The sequence below is a fragment of the Homo sapiens genome, chromosome 10, assembly GCF_000001405.40.
Source record: "Homo sapiens chromosome 10, GRCh38.p14 Primary Assembly".
Classification (NCBI taxonomy): Eukaryota; Metazoa; Chordata; class Mammalia; order Primates; family Hominidae; genus Homo; species Homo sapiens.
This window is the reverse complement of record NC_000010.11, coordinates 61520262-61544076: the sequence shown is the minus strand read 5'-3', so window position 1 is coordinate 61544076 and position 23815 is coordinate 61520262. Positions and strand designations below refer to the sequence as shown.

The window sequence follows — 23815 nt, the reverse complement described above, 5'->3', positions numbered from 1 at the left end:
CTACTTTTAGTTTCACATTCGAGTTGCCCAGCAGTAATGTTTGGTATTTTTCTAGCCTCCCAGGTATAAGCCAATGTTCTCCTTTTTGCTCTAAAAGAGATAACGTGTAATGTGGGGTGTGAATTGTAGTAGGCTGTCCTGTGGTAAACTTGTCAGCCTCTAAGAAGAGCAAGTCACAAATGATTGCTACTGCCTGAAGTCAAACTGGCCATCTTTGTATGACAACATCTAGTTCTGAAAAATAAGCCACAGGTTTCTTATGGGCCCTAAATTCTGAGTTAACACCCCAGGGCTTACTTGCTGTCTTTCATGACAAAAAGGTCAGAAGATTTTCTTAGACCTGGAAGGCCTAGGGAAGGAGCAATCATCAATTTTTCTTTTATGTCCTGGAAAACTCTGTGACATTCTCCAGTCCATTTTAGGGGTTCCTTGTCCTCATCTTTCATGGCTTCCTAAAGGGGCTTAGCCATGAACTCAAAGTTGGGAATCCAAATTCAGAAAAATCCTACCATTCCCAAAAAAACCCTAGGGGAGTAGTGATCTGTCTATCTATCTATCTATCTGTCTGTCTATCTATCTATCTATCTATCTATCTATCTATCTATCTATCTATCTATCTACCTACCTGTTGGTTTTCAGCCACAGTTCCATGCTCGCCACTCCCATAGCCTTACTTATAGTCTTTTGTTACAATGTTGAATGTGTCAGGTCTCAGGAAACAGAATCTCTCTGACATTTTATCATGCCCACCTCTCACCTGCTCCGAGGCAGGACTCTAATCTTCCCCTGGCTTTCTGACTGTTGGTCATAAGACCTTCATTCCAGAGAGGGTCTCATTCCATACCCTGGGGGAAGGAATGCTGGCATCCTGAAGCTTCCATAAAAACCCAAGAGGACAGGGTTCAGGGAGCATGTGGATAGCTGGATGTGTGGAGGCTCCTGGAGAGTGGCATGCCCAGGGAGAGCATGGAAGCTCTGCACCCCTTCCCCCATACCCTACCCTACACACCTCTTTATCTGTATTTATCCTTCCTTTCTAATATCCCTTATAATAAACTCGTAAACATAAGTTAGTGTTTCCTTGAGCTCTGTGAGCAGCTTGAGCAGCTCCTGCAAATTAACTGACCCTAAAGAGGGGATCTTGGGACCCCAATCTTGAGGCTGGTAGGTCATAATTTCCAGAGGTCCAGAATTGCAACTGGTGTCTGGGGTTGAGGGGGCAGTCTTGTGGGATTGAGATCTCAATGTGTGGGGTCTAATGCTCCCTCTAGACAGATAGTGTTGAAATTGAATTGGAGGAAACCCAGCTGTTTGTCTGCTGCAGAATTGCTTGCTTGCTTGCTGGTGGGGAGAAAGTCCCACATTATCTGGGGGTCAAAGGAGTCTTGTTAGTTGATTGCTGTTGTTGGTATTAGAACAGAGGAAAAACATGGCTTGAGGGTTTAATAACAATTGGTGTCAGATAAATAAGGTTTTCTAGAAAGGCCCTTACTCACAGAAATATGTGGTTTGGGAAGAGAAAGGATGGAAATGTGGGGAATAAGGAACCTTTCCTTCCCTGAGTGACCACATGGTCACCCATGGCATTGGAGCTGCAGCTGTGCTGCACCCAGTTACTAAAGGCAAAAGTTATCAGTGGAATTTAGAGATGGGTCAAATTAACTCCTGCGGAGTTGGTTTACTGGCTGCACAAGGAAATGCAAACTAATAAGAAAAAAAAGGGAAATACTCAATACCTTGGTTATTGTTATCTATAATAGCTAAGATGGAAGTAAAAGAGAATGCTAGGCTGGGCCTTGAGCTGGACCAAGCTCAGATGTGGATGTGTCTGGGTTCAGGCCACTAACCACAAAGTCATCCACAAAGGGGAAAGTTCTGTTCCTTGGGGACAGCAGAAAGTACCTCTGAGACCTGTGATTACCAAGAAGGTAGTTAATGTAGCGGAAGGGCAAAACCAAGTAACTTGAAACCAGAGGGTATCCTGTGTGACAGCACTGTCTCATTTTGAAGATTAGCATTATCAGCTTCTTGAGGAACTTTTACTAAAATGGATTATGAGATAAATTAATTTAGGGGCAGTATCTTTGGTTTTAAATGCTGCAGAGTGGAAGACCATGTTTGGGTTGATGCAGGACCCACAGGTCACTATTGAACAATTGCAGATACGTATATATGAACTAGAAACACAGGAGGTTATTCCTGAAGAAACAGCCCACCTGCCCACAAGCCACTGTAAGGTCTGTTTACCCTGAAAATGGGACCTGTCCAACTCCATCTATAAATACCGAGTGGAGCATCAGATGAAGTAGCTGATATGCTTCCTCCCAATAGTTCCTTGCTCAGGGCTTCAACCAGCAAGGTGGCCTGGTGTTTCATTTTGCACTGCTCATTATTTTCTTGGACCTCATCTCAGCCACCAAAAACCTTGAAAGCAATCTGAAACCACTGAGACATGGTCATTCCTAAAGCCCCTTCCACTATTTGTAATTTATTCTGAATGTTGGGGGCAGCTTGCCCAGTAAAGGTCATATTTCTCATTTTTAGATTTTTCAGTGCTTCCAGATCTATTTCTGTGTATTGTCAGTAAGCCCCCAAAATTCTAAGTATTCTGAGGGGTCTTTGTTAGGCTTTTGTTTGACCTACTGGGTGTAATTTAAACTGCTTTGTTTCAAAACTCCTTTCTTTAGCCCTTTAAGTATGCAATCTCTGTAATGTTCAAACTTATTTCTATGTTCCATGTCCCAAGGATTCCATCAAGGGTTCGTGTAGGGATGGTCAAGTCAGTGCAGCCCTTAGCAAGTTATTAGGGGCTTCTTCATATATCTTAACCGCCTTGATACAGGCTCTTTTAAAGGAAAATTCTATGTTCTTCTGAAGTAAGGAGGGTTTTTAAGAGAGTTTGGATATCTGCCGGAGGATTGTGGGTGGCAAAAAGAGAAGCATTCTTTTCTTTCTTTGTTGCAGACAGAAGGGATTGTAACAAACTGTTTTCTTCTCCACTGTCCTGCGAAAGAAGCTCAAGAAATTTTGCTAGTTAACAAATTATTTACCACTGGGGCACAGTTACAGTATCTGATTTTGACATGTCATAAATTAAAGAAATGTAATACTTTGGGATTTTTGAGGCTTTAAAGGGGTAGAACATGGATAGATTTTTACCTCCAAGATATACACACACATACACATAAACACAGACATAAATATACAAGCTTGGGCAGTATGATGAGGAAAGACTACTAATGCAGTCATCCTGATAAATACTAAGAACCGATAAATAAGGGATTTAAACTCGATGATACATCAAGTCCTGTGCTACAGTTAGTTGTTATGATCAGATGTCTGTAAAATATTTAATATTTGAAAATGTTCCAAAAGAATACCAGGGCTTAAATAAGCAGATTCACTCATTCAACAAATATTTATTAAGCACATGTTATGTGCCAGGAATCATTTTAGCCTCTGAGACTACTGCAGTAACCAAACAAATCTCTACCCTCATGTAGCTTTCAGTTGAGAAGTTAAATTTTTGTAGAACAAGTAATGGATAAATTTTTTAAAAAAAATCAAGCTCAGTCATCCACATTCACTAATTGTAGAATCACACATCGTGTGCACCATTTTTAAAAAGCTCTGATTTTAGCCCTTTTACAGTTAACTGAACTCTGACCTTAGGGGTTCTGAACACAGAGGAGTGGACTCTACTTATTTTGCAAGGGCAAAAAGGGAGACATACGCAGGTTCCCAGATAATTTCCATTTTATTCATCCACCCTCACCCCCACTGAATATCAAAAATCATAACTAGAACCTGTTAATTTTATTTTTAAATATTTCTTTAACATCGCTCATGTCTCTCCATGTACATTATCACCACGCACCACAAGTAACCATCATGTCTTGCCTGGGCCGTGACAATCTCTTCCTAACTGGTCTCACCACATTCACCTTTATTCTGCTCCAATTCATTCTCTACACATGGGCTGTCAGGTGTGCCTTTCTACCACTAGCCGCAGGGGCTATTGAGCAACACACAGCTAGTCTACATTGAAATGAGCTGTAAGTATAAAACACACACCTGATTTCAAGCACTTAGCATGAAAAAAGGATGTAAAACATCTCGTTTATAATGATAATAATTATTATTATTTTGAGACGAAGTTTCGTTCTTGTTGCCTAGGCTGGAGTGCAGTGGCGCAATCTTGGCTTACTGCAACCTCCGCCTCCCAGGTTCAAGCAATTCTCCTGTCTCAGCCTCCTGAGTAGCTGGGACTGCCACCATGCCCGGCTAATTTTTGTATTTTTGGTAGAGACACGGTTTCACAATGTTGGCCAGGCTGGTCCTGAACTCCTGACCTCAGGTGATCCACCCTCCTCGGCCTCCCAAAGTGCTGGGATTACAAGCGTGAGCCACCGCACCTGGCATCGTTTATAATTTTTATATTGATTCCATGTTGAAATGATCCATCGAGTTAAGTAGAATATATTAAAATTAATTCCATCTGTTTCTTTTTACCTTTTTAAAAGCTATGGATGCTAGAATATTTATTATTCGATATGTAGCTTGCATTATATTTTTGTTGGACAGTACTGCTGTGTACTGTAAACAAATCTAATTATGCCAGTCCTTGCTCACAATCTTTCAGGGTCTTTCTGTTACTCTTTAGATAAAGACCAAAATCTTTAACGTGGCCTCTAGGTCTGTGAAAGATCTCCCACCTGCCTCACTATTTCCATCACTTTTCAACCTTCCATCTTGATTTCTGAGCTCCAGTCAGCCACCTCTTTTTAGGTACTTCAGCACAGTGATTTTTTCTAACTACAGATTGAGACTTAATAATGAGACATGAAATAAATTCTGTGAATCGAGACCAGCGTTAAAATAATAGAAGAGAAAAGAAGGGAAGGGAAGCGAAGGGAAAATAAAATAGGGTACATCACAAACAAAAGGGTAAATACTTCATGTAAATGCTTGTTACGTTTTGTGTTAGTTTACTGGATTATGTTGTAAAATATATTTTGTATTGAAAGGAAAATGTTTGAGAAGCAATACTTTAACCCAGGGTTTCTCAACCTTGGCACTATTGACATTTTGGTTGGATCACCCTTTGCTGTCGAGGGGCTGTCCTGTTCTGTGTAGGATGTTGAGCAGTGTCCCTAGCCTCTACCCACTAAATGTCAGTAGCACACCCTCTTCCATCACGACAACTAAAAATACTTCCAGATTTTGCCAGATGTCTCTGAGTAAGAACCCTTTCTCTAAGCCATCAGGCTTGATCTCACGACCCAGCTTTTTTCCTTAACTGAACGACACATCTCACCTCTCAACTCCTGGGTAACTCTTACTCACTCTTTAGTTGTCAGTTTAATTGTACTGTCCTTGGGAAAGTCTGTCCTAACTCCTCCAGGAGGATCTTTTCCTTTTGTTACACATTCTCCTAAAATCATGCTCTCTCTTTCAAGCACTTATCAGTTTTTAATTTTCCATTTATTTCTGTGATTATTAGGTGAATATCTACGTTTCTCACTAGATAAAAGCAGGGATCATTTTTGTTTTACTCACAATACAACATTAAATATATATTTATTCAGTGTCTACTATGCATTGCCTCCATTCTAGGTGGTAGATATACACCGCATACCTGAACAAGTAAAATTCCTGCCCTTGGGTAGCTGACAGCTTTGTTGGGGAGACATAAAATACAGAAACAGACCAATACTTAAGTACAAATTAAAAATGGAAATGGTGCTAAAATAAAGATGTGTTTGGGGGTTGGAAGACCTATTTAGACAGAGTTGTCAGGAGAAGAACTCACACAAGGAGTGAACTTTAAGTAAAATTTGAAGTATTAGAAAGATACTCCCATATACAGACAGGGAAAGAATATTCAAGGAGCAAGTACTATCTAACTCAAAGGCCTTATAACATGTTTCTACTAGGTTTTTAAAAGATCATCTGCTGTTAAGAAAATGCATCAAGGAGACTGAAAGTAAAGAAGGTGAAGCCACTTAGGAAGTCATTCAGTCAAGGCAAGAGGTCATTAGTGTCTTGGACTAGGGGATGTCATAGTGGTAATGACAAGAAGTGTATGAAATACAAAAATTTACTAGATAAATAATATGTCAATTCTGACAACTGACATACTAGGTACTTACTAAATATTTGCTAATTTAATATCAATGTGAATAATAAAATAATTTAAAAATGTGAATTCATTCAACATTTGCTAACACAATGAGATCAAAGCTTTAAGAAATTAAGACAAATTTGGAGTAAGTTTGAGTATTTGCTTTTTATTTTTGCCATGATATCTGCCTCTTAAAGCTTAGTTTAAATTCTATATTGTCTAAGGAAAAATCTGTCTCCATAGCTATATTCTCATGGCAAATTTGCTCTAGCTCCATTGTAGCATTTATCATTGTCTACCTTAGACATTTATGTGTTCATCTGCCCAACTATATTATGGTTGGTAGTGAAAGCTAATTTTAAAAAAATCATTTGAATTCTGATACAATAAACTGTATATTGAAGACATTAAATAATGTTAAACAAAATGTTATATATTTCTCACAGAATATTACTTGGGAAAATTCAATCTCTTAAGACTTTTATTTGATGACTCTTTCTGTCAGAAATAATCTTCCAATGGACAGGAAATTAATTGTTTACAGTTTTTATTTCAAGTTAAAGTTTATTTTAAAAAGTAGTGTTTTAAAACATGTTTCAATGCCAGACATAGCAAAGACTATTTCACTAATACAAACAGTTTTTGATGATGCATTTCATTATGGGAGCTGAGGTTATATATATTTCATTTCTATGTGATGAATCCCGAGGAGTAGAATTGCTGCATCATAGGGTAAGTGTGTATTTAACTCTATAAGAAACTACCTAATCTTTTTCCAAAGAGATTAACCATTTTATACTCAGCCACATATGAAAGTTCTTATTTTGCCACATCCTTATCAACTTTTGCTATGCCAGTCATTTTCATTTCAGCCATTTTAGTTGGAGTGAAATGATATGTCATGGAAGTTTTAATTTGAAGTTTCCTGATGACTAATGATGTTGAGCACTTCATCATATGTTTATTAGCCATTCATTTGTCTTTCTTTTTGAAGTGTCTCTTTTAGTCCTTTGCCCAATATTTAAAATTTGCTGCATTTTTGTTATTGAATTGTAGGTGTTCTTTACATATGGTGGATATATGTATTTTTCAGATGTATCTATTATGACTACTTTCCCCCAATGTGTGATTTGCCTGTTCGTTTTCCTAATAGTGATATTTAAGGAACAGAAGTTTTTAATTTCAATGAAGTAATTTCTCATTTTTTTAAATGTTTTATGGTTAATGTTTTCTACGGCCTAAGAAATCTTTGTTGGCTACAACTCATGGAGATATTATTCTATGTTTTCTTTTAAAAGCATTATAATTATAGCTTTTGAGTTTAAGTTTATGATCTTTTATTTTCTGTGTGTGATGTTTTGCAGGGATGGTAGTTTATTATTTTTCTTATGGATATCTAGGTTTCTTGGAACCATTTGCTGAGAAGACTTTTCTTTCCTTATTAAATTGCTGCTGTATTTTTGTAAAACTTTAATTGGCTGTATATATAAGTGAGTCAACTTCTGGATTCCAGATTGTTGTTGTTGTTGTTTTGATCTATTTTTTTCTATCCTTAAGTCAATATCACATTGACTTGATTACTGTAACATAAGTGTTACAATCAAGTGTATGTAATTCCTTCAACTTGGATGTTCTTTTTCAGAATTGTTTTTAGCTATCCTAGGTTTTTATAAATTTCATATACATTTTAGCACTTGCTTGACAATATCTAAAAAAAACTGCTAGGATTTTGTATGGGATGATGTTGAAACTCTATATCAACTTCAGGAGAATTAACATCTTAATGGTAATTATGTCTTCTAATCCATGAACATGGAATATATTACCATTTATTTAAGTCTCCTTTAATTTTTATTAAAAATGTTATATAGTTTTTACTGTGGAAGTCTTGCACCGCCATTGATATATTGTTAAATTTATGATTAAACATTTTAATGCTATTGTTCAGAACATTTTCTATGATCTTATTTTTATCTCTGGGATATGTAGTGATGTCCCTTTTTCATTTCTGATATTGCTAATTTTTGTTCTCATTTTCTGTTTCTCTCCCCTGAGCATTTTAAAAGCCCATCAATTCTATTAATCTTTGCAGAATCAACTTTTGTGCAGAATCAACTTTCGATTATTGTTTATTATTTTAAATTTCATGTATCTGCTATTATCTGACTTATTTCCACTCTTTGGCTTACTTTGGGTTTAATTTTGAAAAAGTCCAATTAAAAATTTTTACCAACCGTCTTCCGTTAGGTAAGAAGCCCTTTGATAGCGAAGACAATATCTAATGCTGTGTATATAAAGCTTCAAAAATATTGGTTAAATCAATTGCCAGAGACAGAAATGGGAAAGTTCCAGTTGTCCAGCATGTAATTTGGTAAGCATTTGCATTAGTTATCTATTGATGAATAATATATTAATCCAAAGGTTCTTGCCTGATCGGGAAGGGGAAGAAATATAAGAAAATGACTAAAAATAAAAATCCCTTTAAAATGCAGAGGAGTGTAATAATGTAGAAAGAGCAGAGATATGGAACAGAATGGGTCAAATTCCAGTCTCTAGATGTGGAATTTGGGGTAAATACTTCTCTGAACTTTAATTTCCTCATGAAAATTTGGTTATCACTACTTCTAATAGGTTTATAGAATTAAATGAAATAACATGTAAAATGCTTGGAAGAATGTGTAGCATATATTAGAAGTTCAATTGATGTCATTTTTATCAGTCTCGGTGTCATTTTGTAAATATGCTCTGAGATTAAAGTTACTACTGAGTATATGGAAGGAGATACATAAATAACGTGGTTAGCACCAGGCACAGTCCATTTTAGATGTGCCTAGAACACACACCTTGTAAATGTCTGTAGAACTTACAAACCTTTACAAATCATGTTATGGCTATTGGAGACAGAAAAAAGTCTATAGATGACTTTTTGGGCTCATAATTTTTGCTTAAAATCTATACCTTGTTTCTTCAACTGAAGGTTTAGTTGTTATTATTATTATTTTTTTCAAAAGACCTAGCTGTGAGCTAGTGCATATTAAAAGAGAACAAAAATAAAGACAAGATGGGACATATGAAACAACCTTTGGACCACCATATTCAATAAAGTAGAGTAAAAAATGGTAATTCGAGATCAGGAATTCTGAATTTTCTCCTTGTATATGAGTGACCACCCAAGGGGAATCACGTACCTTCAATCTCTTAAGAATATTGTATCTTAGATAAATAAATCATCTCTTAAGACTATTAATGGGTGTAAAACATATTTCCATTATAACATCAAAGGTTAGTGATCATCAGGATTTTCCCATAATTTGGTGAATACCTATCATTGCCCTGAATGTTACTAAAGAAATATCTGAGATTGGAAAGACACACCCTCACACTTTCCACTTCTGTTCATATATTATTGGGTAAAAAAGTCATGTCTATGGTTAACTTTAAGTGAGTAGATGTGATGGTTAATATTGAGTATCAACTTGATTGGATTGGAGGATGCAAAGTATGGTTCCTAGGTGTGTCTGTGAGGGTATTGCCAAAGGAGATTAACATTTGAGTCAGTGGACTGGGAGAGGCAGACCCACCCTCAATCTGAGTGGGCACCATCTAATCAGCTGCCAGTGTGGCTAGGATAAAAGCAGGAAGAGGAAGGTGGAAAGACTAGACTCACTGAGTCTTCTGTCCTCCATCTTTCTCCCGTGCTGGATGCTTCCTGCCCTTGAACATAGGACTCCAAGTTCTTCAGCTTTGGGTCTCTTGGACCTTCAACCACACACTAAAGGCTGCACTGTTGGCTTCCCTACTTTTGAGGTTTTGGGACTCAGACTGGCTTCCTTGCTCCTCAGCTTGCAGACGGCCTATTGTGGGACCTCCTTGTGATCGTGTGAATCAATACTCCTTAATAAAGTTCTCTTTATATATACATCTATCCTATTTGTTCTATCCCTCTAGAGAACCCTGACTAATACAGTAGAGAAGTACAAGCCTTCTGTGAGCAGCAGTAATATCTACCACAGACACTTAAAATAGCTACTAAGCACATGGTTCTCTCATTTTCTTTACTCATAGACCCTAAAACAATTTAGAGCTCCAGATTATAAGCTGAAAATAGTTGACATAAACTGATTCAACACTTAAACATTTTCCCAATCATGAACTAGGGCTTCTAAGTGCTTTATACATACTTGTTCATTTATTCCACAAGACAATCTTAAGAGGTCAATATTATTATCCCTATTTTATAGATAGGGAAGTTAAGGTACAGAGAAGACAAGTGATTTGCCCAGTATCACACAACTGGAATTCATAGCCAGGCAGACAGTCTGACCCCAGAATTCACACTCTTAACCATTAGAACACACTGTTCTACAGTGAGGGGAACAACAAACACCAGGGTGTGTTGGGGGGTGGGGGGTGAGGGGAGGGAGCTTAGAAGATGGGTTAATAGGTGCAGCAAACCACCACGGCACACGTATACCTGTGCAACAAACCTGCACGTTCTGCACATGTATTTCTTTTCTTTTTTTTTAGGAGAAAAAAAAAGAACACGCTGTCTTCAGGATAGGTCCTTGACAACTATTTTTTGAAGAGCTATGGGCCAGGATCTGAGCTGGGATTTTTAATCTGTATTCTCAATATGCATGGAATATATGTGTCAGAATCTAGCCATTATGCAGGAAGACCACTGCTGGACTTGAGAAAAATTTCCACAATGCACTATTTTCAATTATGGACATATTAGAAAAGAGTATTCTACATTTTGTGCCACATTTTCTGAATCCAGTCTATCATTGTTGGAGATTTGGGTTGGTTACAAGTCTTTGCTATTGTGAATAGTGCCGCAATAAACATACATGTGCATGTGAAAATGTGGCACATATACACCATGGAATACTATGCAGCCATAAAAAATGATGAGTTCATGTCCTTTGTAGGGACATGAATGAAGCTGGAAACCATCATTCTCAGCAAACTATTGCAGGGACAAAAAAACCAAACACTGCATGTTCTCACTCATAGGTGGGAATTGAACAATGAGAACACTTGGACACAGGAAGGGGAACATCACACACTGGGGCCTGTTGTGGGGTGGGGGGAGGGGGGAGGGATAGCATTAGGAGATATATCTAATGTTAAATGAGGAGTTAATGGGTGCAGCACACCAACATGGCACATGTATACGTATGTAACAAACCTGCATGTTGTGCACATGTACCCTAGAACTTAAAGTATAATAAAAAATATATTAAAAAAGAAAAGAGTATTCTATTCATTTTGTATATTTTTCCATATTTCTACAAAGGGTCCTAACATATAAGTAACTTCTGTTGCTCAGTGTATGACCTTCGTTAAACAGTGCTTGTGCCAAAACCTCAAGAATGCATTACTTTCCTCTTTTGAGAGGAGAAAAATATAATTTTGCAGGGTTGCATGGGATGAAAATAATGAAAATATACAAATCCGTTATTTATATTTAGTTGACTTATTTGTCCCACACAGCCTTCCAATTTTTAATCTTTTGTACCTTTGTACTAATGGCAAATAAGAATTAATGGATAAAGAAGACAAAATGGAAAATCATAAAGTAAGTTCATAGTCTCTAAAAATAATTTGTTTTAACATCATCATTTTTGCATTTTCAGAAATCAAATTCTACATCAAGTGCCATTTGCTAATTGAATAATTTGATCATCTATGAAAGGGATTAGCAAACTACAACCTGCAAGCCAAGTCTGGCCTGCTGCTTATTTTTATAAATAAAGTATTATTGAAGCATGGCTATACCCATTCATTTAGTGTCATCTATGGCTGCTTTTGCACTTAAAATGGAAGAGTTGAGTAGTTGTGACAGAGACAGTCTGGCCCACACAGCCTAAATTATTTAATATCTGTTCCTTTTCAGGAAGAATAAAATTGCCAGCCTCAGGTTTATGCACATATCAGTTGCTGAACTATTGATAATAAGTCTGATATTTTGGGTATCCTTTTTTCTGTAGTCAGTGTTTTGCTTCACCTTGCAAATCACATGCTCAAAGAAGGGCCCACTAAAAATATAGTGAACAGATGTCCTAGTCCCATTAGATCATCAAGGCTTACATTCATGATATAATTGATCCCATTATCAAGTGATTACCATATTATTAAACTTTCTACTAGGCATCTCTGTTTTATGGTGCTTTGCCAAACACCAGTCCTATTTCTGTTTATTCCTGCTTTATGGTAGCTCACATAATACCGAGATAGAGTTTCATGCTATAGTCTAAATGAAATAAATGTTTAAATCACTGGTAATGAAAGGAGATATCAGAAATCCTTTTCTAAAATTTTTAATTTTTATGGGTACCTAGTAAGTGTATGTATTTATGGGGTATGTTGTATATTTTCATAGAGTATTATCACATCAGGGTAAATGGAGTATCCATCACCTTAAGCACTTATCCTTTGTGTTACAATGCAATTATACACTTTTATTTTAAAATGTACTGTTAAATTATTGACTATAGTCACCCTATTTGCTACCAACTACTAGATATTATTTATTCTTTCTAACTATTCTTTGTACCGTTTAACCATCCCCACTCTCCTACTCCCTACACTTCCCAGCTTCTGGTAACTATCCTTCTATTCTCTATTTCCATGAGTTTAATTGTTTTGGTTTTTAGATCCCACAAATAAGTGAGAACATGCAATGTTTATCTTTCTGTGCCTGGCTTATTTAACTTAATGATTTCCAGTTACATCTATGTTATTGCAAATGACAGGATCTCATTCTTTTTTATGGCTGAATGGTACTCCATTGTGTATATGTACCATATTTTCTTTATCCATTCATCTATTGATGGACACTTACGTTGCTTCCAAATCTTGGCTATTGTGAATAGTGCTGCAATAAACATGGAAGTGGAGATATCTCTTTGATATAATGATTTCTTTTCCTTTGGGTATATGCCTAGAAGTGGGATTGCCAGATCATATGGCAGCTCTACTTTTAGTTTTTTGAGGAACCTCCAAACTATACTCCATAGTGGTTGTACTAATTTCCACTCCCACCAACAGTGTATGAGGGTTCCCTTTTCTCAACATCTTGCCAGCATTTGTTATTGCCTGTCTTTTGGATAAAAGCCATTTTAGCTGGGGTGAGTTGATATCTCATTATAGTTTTCCTTTGCATTTCTCCGATGATCAATGATGTTGAACATATTTTCATATACCTGTTTACCATTTGTGTGTCTTCTTTTGAGAAATGTCTATCTAGATATTTCACTCATTTTTTAGTCAGATTATTAGATTTTTACCTATAGAGTAGTTTGAGCTCCTTGTGTATTCTGGTTATTAATCTATTGTTAAATGGATAGTTTACGAATATTTTCTCCCATTCTGTGAGTTGTCTCTTCACTTTATTGATGTATCCTTTGCTGTGCAGAAGCTTTTTAACTTCATGTGATCCCATTTGTCCATTTTTGCCTGGGCTTGGGGGGTTATTACTCAAAAAAGTTTTGCCCAATCCAATGTCCTGGAGAGTTTCTGCAGTGTTTTCTTGTAGTAGTTTCATAGTTTGAGATCTTAGATTTAAATCTTTAATCCATTATTATTTGATTTTTGTATATGGCGAGACATAGGGTCTAGTTTGATTCTGCATATGGATGTCCAGTTTTCCCAGCACCATTTATTGAAGAGACTGTGCTTTCCCTATTGTATGTTCTTGGCGTCTTTGTCAAAAATGAGTTTATTGTAGATGTATGGATTTGCTTCTGGGTTCTCCATTTTGTTCCATTGGTTTATGTATCTGTTTTTATGACAGTAGCTTGCTGTTTTGGTTACTGTAGCTCTGTAGTATACTTTGAAGTCAGGTAATGTGATTCCTCCAGTTTTGTTCCTTTTGCTAAGGATATCTTTGGCTGTTCTGGGTCTTCTGTAGTTCCATGTAAATTTTAGAATTGTTTTTCTATTTCTGCGAAGAATGTCATTGGTATTTTGATAGGCATTGCATTGAATCTGTAGATTGCTTTGGGTGGTATGGACATTTTAACAATATTCATTCTTCAAATCCTTAAACATGGAATAATTTTCCATTTTTTATGTTCTCTCCAATTTCTCTCATCAATGTTTTATAGTTTTCATCGTAGAAATCTTTCACTTCTTTGGTTAATTCCCGGGGATTCAATTTTATTTGTAGCTATTGTAAATGACATTACTTTCTTGATTTCTTTTTCAGATTGTTTACTGTTGGCATATAGAAATGCTACTGATTTTTGTATGTTGATTTCTTATCCTGCAACTTTAGTGAATTTGTTTATCAGTTCTAAGAATTTCTGTTAATTTAGATATTTTGAAATAGATTTACCCTGAAAATTTTAATGAGAAGTACATAAGAAAGAATTGTAATGAAATTTGCTTATCAGAAAGTTGTGTCAAAAAATTTGCATTAAAAGATGTCCTGTTAAATTCATAGGGAGTAAAAGGAATGAACAATTTTAGGCATTCTTTTCTTAATAGTCTTAAGCCAAGATTAAATAAAGAGACGAAATATGAGTTTGCAAAGGCAAACAGACCTGATGCCTAATGTGATCTTTCTGGTTTTTTTGGCTCTGAGTTCAACATTGTAGCTGACTTGCACTGTGGGTGATAAAGTTAAAACTGAATAAAAAACTTGAGAATCTTACTTATCTGGCTTTCACTTTCTTCTAATGTTGCACCAAATCAAAACTCTGCCATAATCTCTGCATAATAAATCAAGCAGATGTTTCTGTTTATTTAATGAATATTATTTTTTCCATATGTGACCATTGCTGTGTCTTCAGCAAGTATAAGGGTAAATTAATGAAGCAAGTAACTAAAAATTGCATGTTCTATTAACTAATTAGATGACCACAAAGAGAAGGTTGGTATATTATTTTAACCATTTGCCTGAAATGATCAATTTCTAATCAAGGTGATCCCGTTGTCTAACAATGGGATTGAATTTTTTTTCTGATTTTGTTATGAAAAATTTCAAACATGCAGAGTACTTGAACAAAATAAATATCTACCATCAATATTCAGCAATAGGTAATGACCATATTTACATTTGCTCATTTTATCTCTAGCATTTTTAAATCTAGAGTAGTCTTCCCAGCTTTTGGTGTATTTAACATATTTTTAAAATTATTTTAAAATTAAACTTATTTTGAGAGAATTATAGATGTACATGCAGTTGTAAAAAATAATGCTGATAGAGCCTATGTATCTTTTATCCATTTCCCCCCAATGATAGCATTTTGCAAAATGATAGCATTAAAATATCACAATTAGGATATTGACATTGATAAAATCAAAATACAGAAGACTTCCATCACCACAAGCATCCCTTGTATTGCCCTTTTATAGCCACAACGGCTTCCTGCTGTTTCCACCCTCTCCAATGCCCCTGGCAACCACTAATCTGTTCTCCATTATTATAATTTTTTATATTGACTTTTTAAAAAGACCAAATCCATTTTCTCACTGATTGTCCCACATCCTAAATGTATTTGATAGTTTCCTCTTGACGTTTATCTTTTTTCTTTATCTCCTATTTCTGGAAAACTGAAAGGTTGATCTAAAGACTTGACTAGATATACAGTAAACATTTTGGACAATATTTAATAAGTAATGCTTTGTATTTCATTTTACATCATATCAAGAGGTACACATGTTGGCATACCCAAATGTTAGTGAGGCTAAGTTTGATCACTCTGTTGATGTGATGACGAGCAAACCTTTCCACTTAAAGGTATGTTTTCCTTTGGCAACTGTGTATATCTTATACTCTAGCAACATTTTACCTAATTGTTTTAATCTTTACAAATAATTTTTGCCTGAATTACTTATTTCAATGTGGGGGGGTCAGAAAAACATGATTTTAAAATATTATTACGCTTTCTATGTTTATTAACTATCATTCTTTTGTAGAAAAAGTGTTTCTTCTCCAAAAATTTGCTCAGCTCCTTTCTTTTAATTACCAGCTGTCAGAGTAAGAAACTGGTGTAATAATAAGATGACTAGCTATTCCAGTTTATCCATGACAGTCCTGGTTATATCTCTTTCCACAGAAAGTTATTGTGTTTCCATTCACAATAAAAATTTAACAAATTGACAATAAGTTATAACATTATTCCATGTATCAGTCACCTCCAATTTCTCTCTCCCCCGGCTTTCACTTGCAGAATCACTACAGACTACTAAGTGTTTATTTATTCAATGTTTCATAATTAATTTTGCCTTTTGATAGGCAAATCTTTTATACTTGAACAATTAAAATAATTATCCCTATTGGTGCTCAAATTTCAATACGCAAATACTCAGAGCTCAAAATTGGCTAATGTAAATCCCTTAAAAATGCTTTTGTGGAAATGAGATCATGTCCTTTGCAGAGACATGGAAGGAGCTGGAAGCCATTATCCTCAGCAAATTAACGCAGGAACAGAAAACCAAACACCGCATGTTCTCTCTCGTAAGTGGGAGCTGAACAATGAGAACACATGGACACAGGGAGGGGAACAACACCCACTGGGGCCTGTCACAGGGTGGGATATGTGAAAAGAGCATCAGAAAAAATAGCTAATGCATGCCGGGCTTAATACTTAAGTGATGGGTTGATAGGTGCAGCAAACCATCATGGCACACGTTTACCTATGTAACAAACCTACACATCCTGCACGTGTACTGCGAACTTACAAAATAAAGTAAAAAATGGCTTTCTGTATTTTTGACGCAAATTTTTGCTTCAGTGGTCTTTGACTAAATTTTTGTTTTATGAACTATTAAGATATTACAGTCTTACGCGGTGTTTTCTTTTTTCTTTTTCTTTTTTTTTTTTTTTTTTTTTGAGACAGGGTCTCACTCTGTCACCCAGGCTGCAATGCAGTGGTGCAATCATTGGTCACTGTAATCTTGAACACCTGGACTCAAGTGATCCTCTGACCTCGGCCACCAGGGTAGCTAAGACTATAAGTATGTGCCACAATATTTGGCTAATGTTTTATTTTTTTGTAGAGACAGGGTCTCACTATGTTGCCCAGGTTGGTCTTACCTTGTATTTCCTATGTTCCAGATCAGAATTCAAACATTTCTTCAAAGATCTCTGAATTCATTTTTTAAACATTTATTTGTATAAATTTAAGGTGTACGGTGCAATTTTGTTACATGGATATACTACTTAGTGGTGAAGTCTGGGATTTTAGTGTATCCACCACCTGAATAATGTTACATTGTGCCCATTGAGTAATTTCTCATCATCCAACCCCCAACCTGCACCCTCCTGAGTCTCCAGTGTCTCTAATTCCACACTCTATGTCCATGTGTACACATTATTTAGCTCCCACTTATAAGTGAGAAGATGTGGTATTTGTCTTTCTGCATCTCACTTCTATCCATGTTGCTGCAAAAGACATGATCTCATTCTGTTTTATGGCTGAATACTATTCTATTGTGTATTTATATCACATTTTCTTTATCCAGTCATCTGATGATAGACACTTAGATTGCTTCTGTATCATTGCTAATATGAGTAGTGTTAGGATAAACATAAGAGTGAAGGTATCTTTTTGATATAATATCTTCTTTTCCTTTGGGTAGATACCCAAACAAGGATGCATACTTTGACCACTCTTATTCAGCATAGCACTGGAAGTCTTAGCCAGAGCAATCAGGCAAGACAAAGAAATAAAAGACGTCCAAATTGGAAAAGATAAAGTTAAATTATCCCTGTTCATTAGTGATATGCTCTTACATGTACAAAACCCTAAAGACTCCACAAAAAATCTTTGAGTCATAAATGAATTCAATAGTTTCAAGATACAAAATTAATGTAAAATATAGTACCATGTGTATACTTTAGCTATCTAGCAGAGAACCAAGTCAACAAGGTAATTCCATTTACAACAGCCACAAAAAACCAAAAAAACATAAAACCTAGGAAAACTTTTAACCAAGGAGGTGAAAGGTGTCTACAATGAAAACTACAAAACACTGATGAAATAAATTGTGGATGACACAAACAAGTGGGAAAATCATCCTATACTAATTGACTGGAAGAACTAATGCCATTAAAATGACCACAATGTTCAAAGTAAACTACAGATTTAATACAATCTTTATTGAAATACCAATGTCATTTGTTTTACAGAATTTGAAAAAACAATCCTAAAATTCGTATGAAATAAAAATAAGCCTGAATAGCCAAAGCAATTCTAAGCAAAAAGGAACAAAGCTGGAGGCATCAGATTACCTAACTTTATTTATTATTATTATTATTATTATTGTTATTATTATTATTATTATTATTAGTAGTAGTAGTAGTAGTATTTGAGACAGAATCTTGCTCTGTAGCCAGGCTGGAGTGCACTGGCAAGATCTTGGCTCACTGCAACCTCTGCCTCCCAGGTTCAAGGGATTCGCATGCCTTAGCCTCCCGAGTAGCTAGGATTACAGACATGTGCCACCACGCCCAGCTAATTTTTGTATTTTTATAGAGTTGGGTTTCTCCATGTTGGCCAGGCTGGTCTCAAACTCCTGGCCTCAAGTGATCTGCCCACCTTGGCTTCCCAAAGTGCTGGGATTACAGGCGTGAGCCACTGCACCCAGCCCACATTATCTAACTTTAACCATAGTACAAAGGTATAGTAACCATAACAGTATGATTCTGGTATAATAGACATATAGATCAATGGGAACAGAATAGACAACTCAGGAATAAAGCCATACACTGACAGCCAATTGATCATTGACAGTTGACAAAAACACACTGGGGAAAGGCCACCCCTTTAATAAATGGTGCTGGGAAAATTGGGTTCTCATTATGCCAAAGGATGAAATTAGACCTCTATCTCTCACTATATTAAAAAAATCAACTCGAGATGAATTAATGACTTAAAAGTAAACCTGAAACTATAAAAATACTAGAAGAAAACATAGGGAAAACTCTTCTGGATATTGTCCAGGCAAATAATTCATGACCTCAAAAGCAAAAATAACAAAAACAAAATGGTACTTAATTAAACTAAGAATCATATCTGATTTTTTTTGGGGGGAACTGATAATTAGAAACTCAAATGTGAGTATCAGGAGTATTCATTTTCATTGGGGTGGTGTGGTTCCCAGACATTTCAATGAATAAAGCTAGGATATATGTAAATATAAGTATATTTAAATATTGAGTATATGTTGTTTATTTCTAATTCATATTTAATATTATAGTGCTTTTCTGATTTTTTTGACTTTGTATTGATAACCTATGTTTTATATTGAAAACCCTGGTTACTAATTAGCACATTTACTTTATTCTTTATTCTAGGACATGTATAGAATGACTACAATGTAAAAATTTCAATATGCTTACCAACTCTCAATAAGGTTTATAATTTTCTTTCGGATTTTTTTCCCTTTAGAATATGTTCTATTAAGGAAGTTCAGTCAGAATACTAGGCTAAAAGTCATTTAAACATTTGCCTGCAAAAATACCACAAGCAAAATAAAGATACACAATAATCTAAAAAAATAGCTTCCAGCTTTTTATCACAGGTGAAAGATTAATATTCCGAACATAAAAGAGCTAAAAGAAACAGAATATATAAAATAGAACAAAAATGTAGTAGAGATACAAATAGTTCATTGAAAAAAGAAATACAAATGACTTTTAACATATGCAAAAAGGCTTAACTTGATCACAGTAAGTTACATGTAAAACTCTATTAATGTACAAATTTTGACCTATCACACTGACAAAAATCCAAAAGTCTTACAACATATTCTCTTGGCAAGGCTTCAGGGGTAGAGACAATGACATATTGCTGGTGACAATACAAAATGTTATAATTCTTTATGGAAAGGAATAGTCAATATCTAGCAAAATTTGTACATTGTTTTAGTCTTTGACACAGATAATACAAAATGTTTCCATCCCCAAATCATTAATTTAATAACATCCGAAAAATCCCTTTTGCCATGTAAGGTAATATATTTTTAGGTTCTGTGGATTAGGACATGGATATCTTGGGGGGCTTTTTTTTTTCTACCACAGACAGTCACAGAAGACATAGATGAATTTACTAATAAATTTAAGAGGAGTGTAGTTGTGTAGAGTATTTTCCCTTATATTAAGAGAATTAAGTAAAAAAGTCATTGAGAGATAACAGCAATTTAGAAAGCAATCAACACACTTCCAAATTACCCTCAGATCAAAAAAGAAATCAGAAGGGAAATTAGAAAATATTTGAAATTAAATGTAAAGAAACCACCTATATTTCAAAATTTGTGGGATACAATTAAAGCAATGTAGACAGAGACATTTATTTATTTATTTATTTTTGAGACAGAGTCTTGCCCTGCTGCCTAGGCTAAAGTGTGATGGTGATCTTGGCTCACTGCAACCTCCACCTCCTAGGTTCAAGCGATTCTCCTGCCTCAGCCTCCTGAGTAGCTGGGATTACAGGAGCCCACCACCAAGCTTAGCTAATTTTTATATTTTTAATAGAGACAGGTTTCACCATTTTGGCCAGGCTGGTCTTGAACTCCTGACCTTAGGTGATCTGTCTGCCTCGACCTCCCAGACTGCTGGGATTACAGGCGTGGGCCACCACAGCCGATACAGACATTTATATCTTTTAATGCTTACATTAGTAAAGTGAAAGGGCATACAATCAATGAACTAAGCTTCAGTATAGGAAGCTAAAAAAGGAGAGTTAATAAAACCCAAGTAAGTGAAAGCAAGTAAATAAAGATGAGAGCCAACACAGTAAAAGAGAAAACAGACCCCCAAAATAGAGATGAATAAAATTCAAAGTTTGTTCTTTGGAAAGATAAAAAAATGATTGAATGTCTAGTAGATGAATTAAGAAAAAAGAGAGAAGACACAAATTGTCATTATCAGAAGTGAAATAAGTGATGTCTCTACCGATCAAACAGTCATTGAAAAGATTATAAAAGAATATTATGAACAACTTTATTCCAATAAAATTGAGAACTAAAATGAATTGGGCAAATTGTTTGAAAGGTCTTAATTACAAAACTGACTTGTTGAGAAATAGACACCTGAATAGTTCTGTATGTATCAAATAAATTAATTATTTAAAGCCTTTCCCAAAAGAAACTGTAGGCACAGATGACTTCATAAAAGAATTGTATTGCATATGTAGGAAAATACAATACCAAGCCTAACAAACTCTGTAAGAAAGTAAAAGGATGCCTGTTCACTCTGATGGTAGTTTCTTTTGCTGTGCAGAAGCTCTTTAGTTTAATTAGATCCCATTTGTCAATTTTGGCTTTTGTTGCCATTGCTTTTGGTGTTTTGGACATGAAGTCCTTGCCCATGCCTATGTCCTGAATGGTAATGCCTAGGTTTTCTTCTAGGGTTTTTATGGTTTTAAGTCTAACGTTTAAATCTTTAATCCATCTTGAATTGATTTTTGTATAAGGTGTAAGGAAGAGATCCAGTTTCAGCTTTCTACATATGGCTAGCCAGTTTTCCCAGCACCATTTATTAAATAGGGAATCCTTTCCCCATTGCTTGTTTTTCTCAGGTTTGTCAAAGATCAGATAGTTGTAGATATGCGGCGTTATTTCTGAAGGCTCTGTTCTGAACAGACACTTCTCAAAAGAAGACATTTATGCAGCCAAAAAACACATGAAAAAATGCTCATCATCACTGGCCATCAGAGAAATGCAAATCAAAACCACAATGAGATACCATCTCATACCAGTTAGAATGGCAATCATTAAAAAGTCAGGAAACAACAGGTGCTGGAGAAGATGTGGAGAAATAGGGACACTTTTACACTGTTGGTGGGACTGTAAACTAGTTCAACCATTGTGGAAGTCAGTGTGGCCATTCCTCAGGGATCTAGAACTAGAAATACCATTTGACCCAGCCATCCCATTACTGGGTATATACCCAAAGGACTATAAATCATGCTGCTATAAAGACACATGCACACGTATGTTTATTGCGGCACTATTCACAATAGCAAAGACTTGGAACCAACCCAAATGTCCAACAATGATAGACTGGATTAAGAAAATGTGGCACATATACACCATGGAATACTATGCAGCCATAAAAAATGATGAGTTCGTGTCCTTTGTAGGGACATGGATGAAAGTGGAAATCATCATTCTCAGTAAACTATCGCAAGAACAGAAAACCAAACACCGCATATTCTCACTCATAGGTGGGAATTGAACAATGAGATCACATGGACACAGGAAGGGGAATATCACACTCTGGGGACTGTGGTGGGGTGGGGGGATGGGGGAGGGATAGCATTGGGAGATATACCTAATGCTAGATGACGAGTTAGTGGGTGCAGCGAACCAGCATGGCACATGTATACATATGTAACTAACCTGCACAAGGTGCACATGTACCCTAAAACTTAAAGTATAATAAAAAAAAAATAGGAAAAAAAAAAGAAAGTAAAAGGAGACAACATTTTTCAGACCATGTTATGAGTCTAGCATTAGCTGAACACCATATCCAAATAAAGACTTCAAAAGAAAACAAAGCTAAAGAGCAATATCTCTTATAAAACAGGATGCAAGAATCCTGAACCAAATATTTAAAGATTAAATCAAGCAATATAAAAAACAGATAGCCTGTAATCCCAGCTACTTGGGAGGCTGAGGCAGGAGAATTATTTGAACTGGGAGGCAGAGGTTGCAGTGAGCCAAGATCACACCACTGCACTACAGCCTGAGTGACAGTGAGTGTCCATCTCTAAAAACAAAACAACAACAAAAAAACAGATAATACATGATGACCAACTGGTATTATCCCAGGATTGTAAGGCTGGTTTATTATTATTATTATTATTTTAAGATGGAGTCTTGCTCTGTCACTAGGCTGGAGTGCAGTGGCAAGATCTTGGCTCACTGCCTCCTGGGTTCAAGGAATTCTCCTGCATCACCCTCCCAAGTAGCTAGGACTGCAGGCACGTGCCACCACACCAGGCTAATTTTTGTATTTTTAGTAGAGACGAGATTCCACCATGTTAGCCACAATGGTCTCAATCTCCTGACCTCGTGATCTGCCTGCCTTGGCCTCCCAGTGTGAGGATTACAGGCAGGAGCCACCACACTCAGCTGGTTTATCATTTTTAACTCAATTAATGTAATTCCCCATGTAGAAAATAATGAAGACAGCTATTGCCACTGCTGGTGTCCTGAGTGCACTCTGCCCCTGAATGCCCTGTCATGCTAGCATTGCCAGCACAAGCACATGCATGGAGGCCAAAAGTCCCACCTCCTGCCCTGCACCGCTATTGCTGCTCTGGCATGAACACATACACAGAAATTGCCAGCCCCACATCTACCAGCACCCTGCCTCTGTACAGACACCACTGTATCCACAGACGCCAGTAGCCCCAACACCTGCCCCCCGTATGCTGCCACTGCAAACACCTGCATGGAGAAAGTCAGTCCTGCACTGGCCAGCATCCCTCACTAGCCAACGAGTGGACACTCTGCTGCTATGCCGCTGTTGCGCTACTGACAGGTATGAAAAAGCACAGATCCACAGATTCTGCTGTCACCTCCCAATGAAGTGCTTTGGCTGGCACAACCCATCATAGTGTTGTGGCCAGCAGTCCAGGAATATCTCAACTCCTCCAGTGCAGCAAGTTCCTAACCTGAAGGGGCCAGGGCCTGCTATCAGCCCCTGTGATTTAGAGCATGCAGCCCAGG

General features: G+C 36.4%; 1 long non-coding RNA gene across 1 annotated transcript, besides 1 other annotated feature; it reads left to right on the top strand.

Moving 5' to 3' along the window:
• Nucleotides 1810–2010: a silencer, noted in NCBI's record as "peak958 fragment used in MPRA reporter construct". NCBI's record gives its function as "represses an SCP1 promoter by STARR-seq MPRAs in K562 erythroleukemia cells {active_cell/tissue: K562}" and the evidence as "EXISTENCE:reporter gene assay evidence [ECO:0000049][PMID:32103011]".
• On the top strand, nucleotides 8381–10989 carry LOC124902535 (uncharacterized). Its single transcript, XR_007062359.1, has 2 exons — nucleotides 8381–8495; nucleotides 10652–10989. It is a non-coding gene; the product is annotated as an uncharacterized LOC124902535 (long non-coding RNA).
• The last annotated feature ends 12826 nt before the right edge of the window (nucleotides 10990–23815 follow it).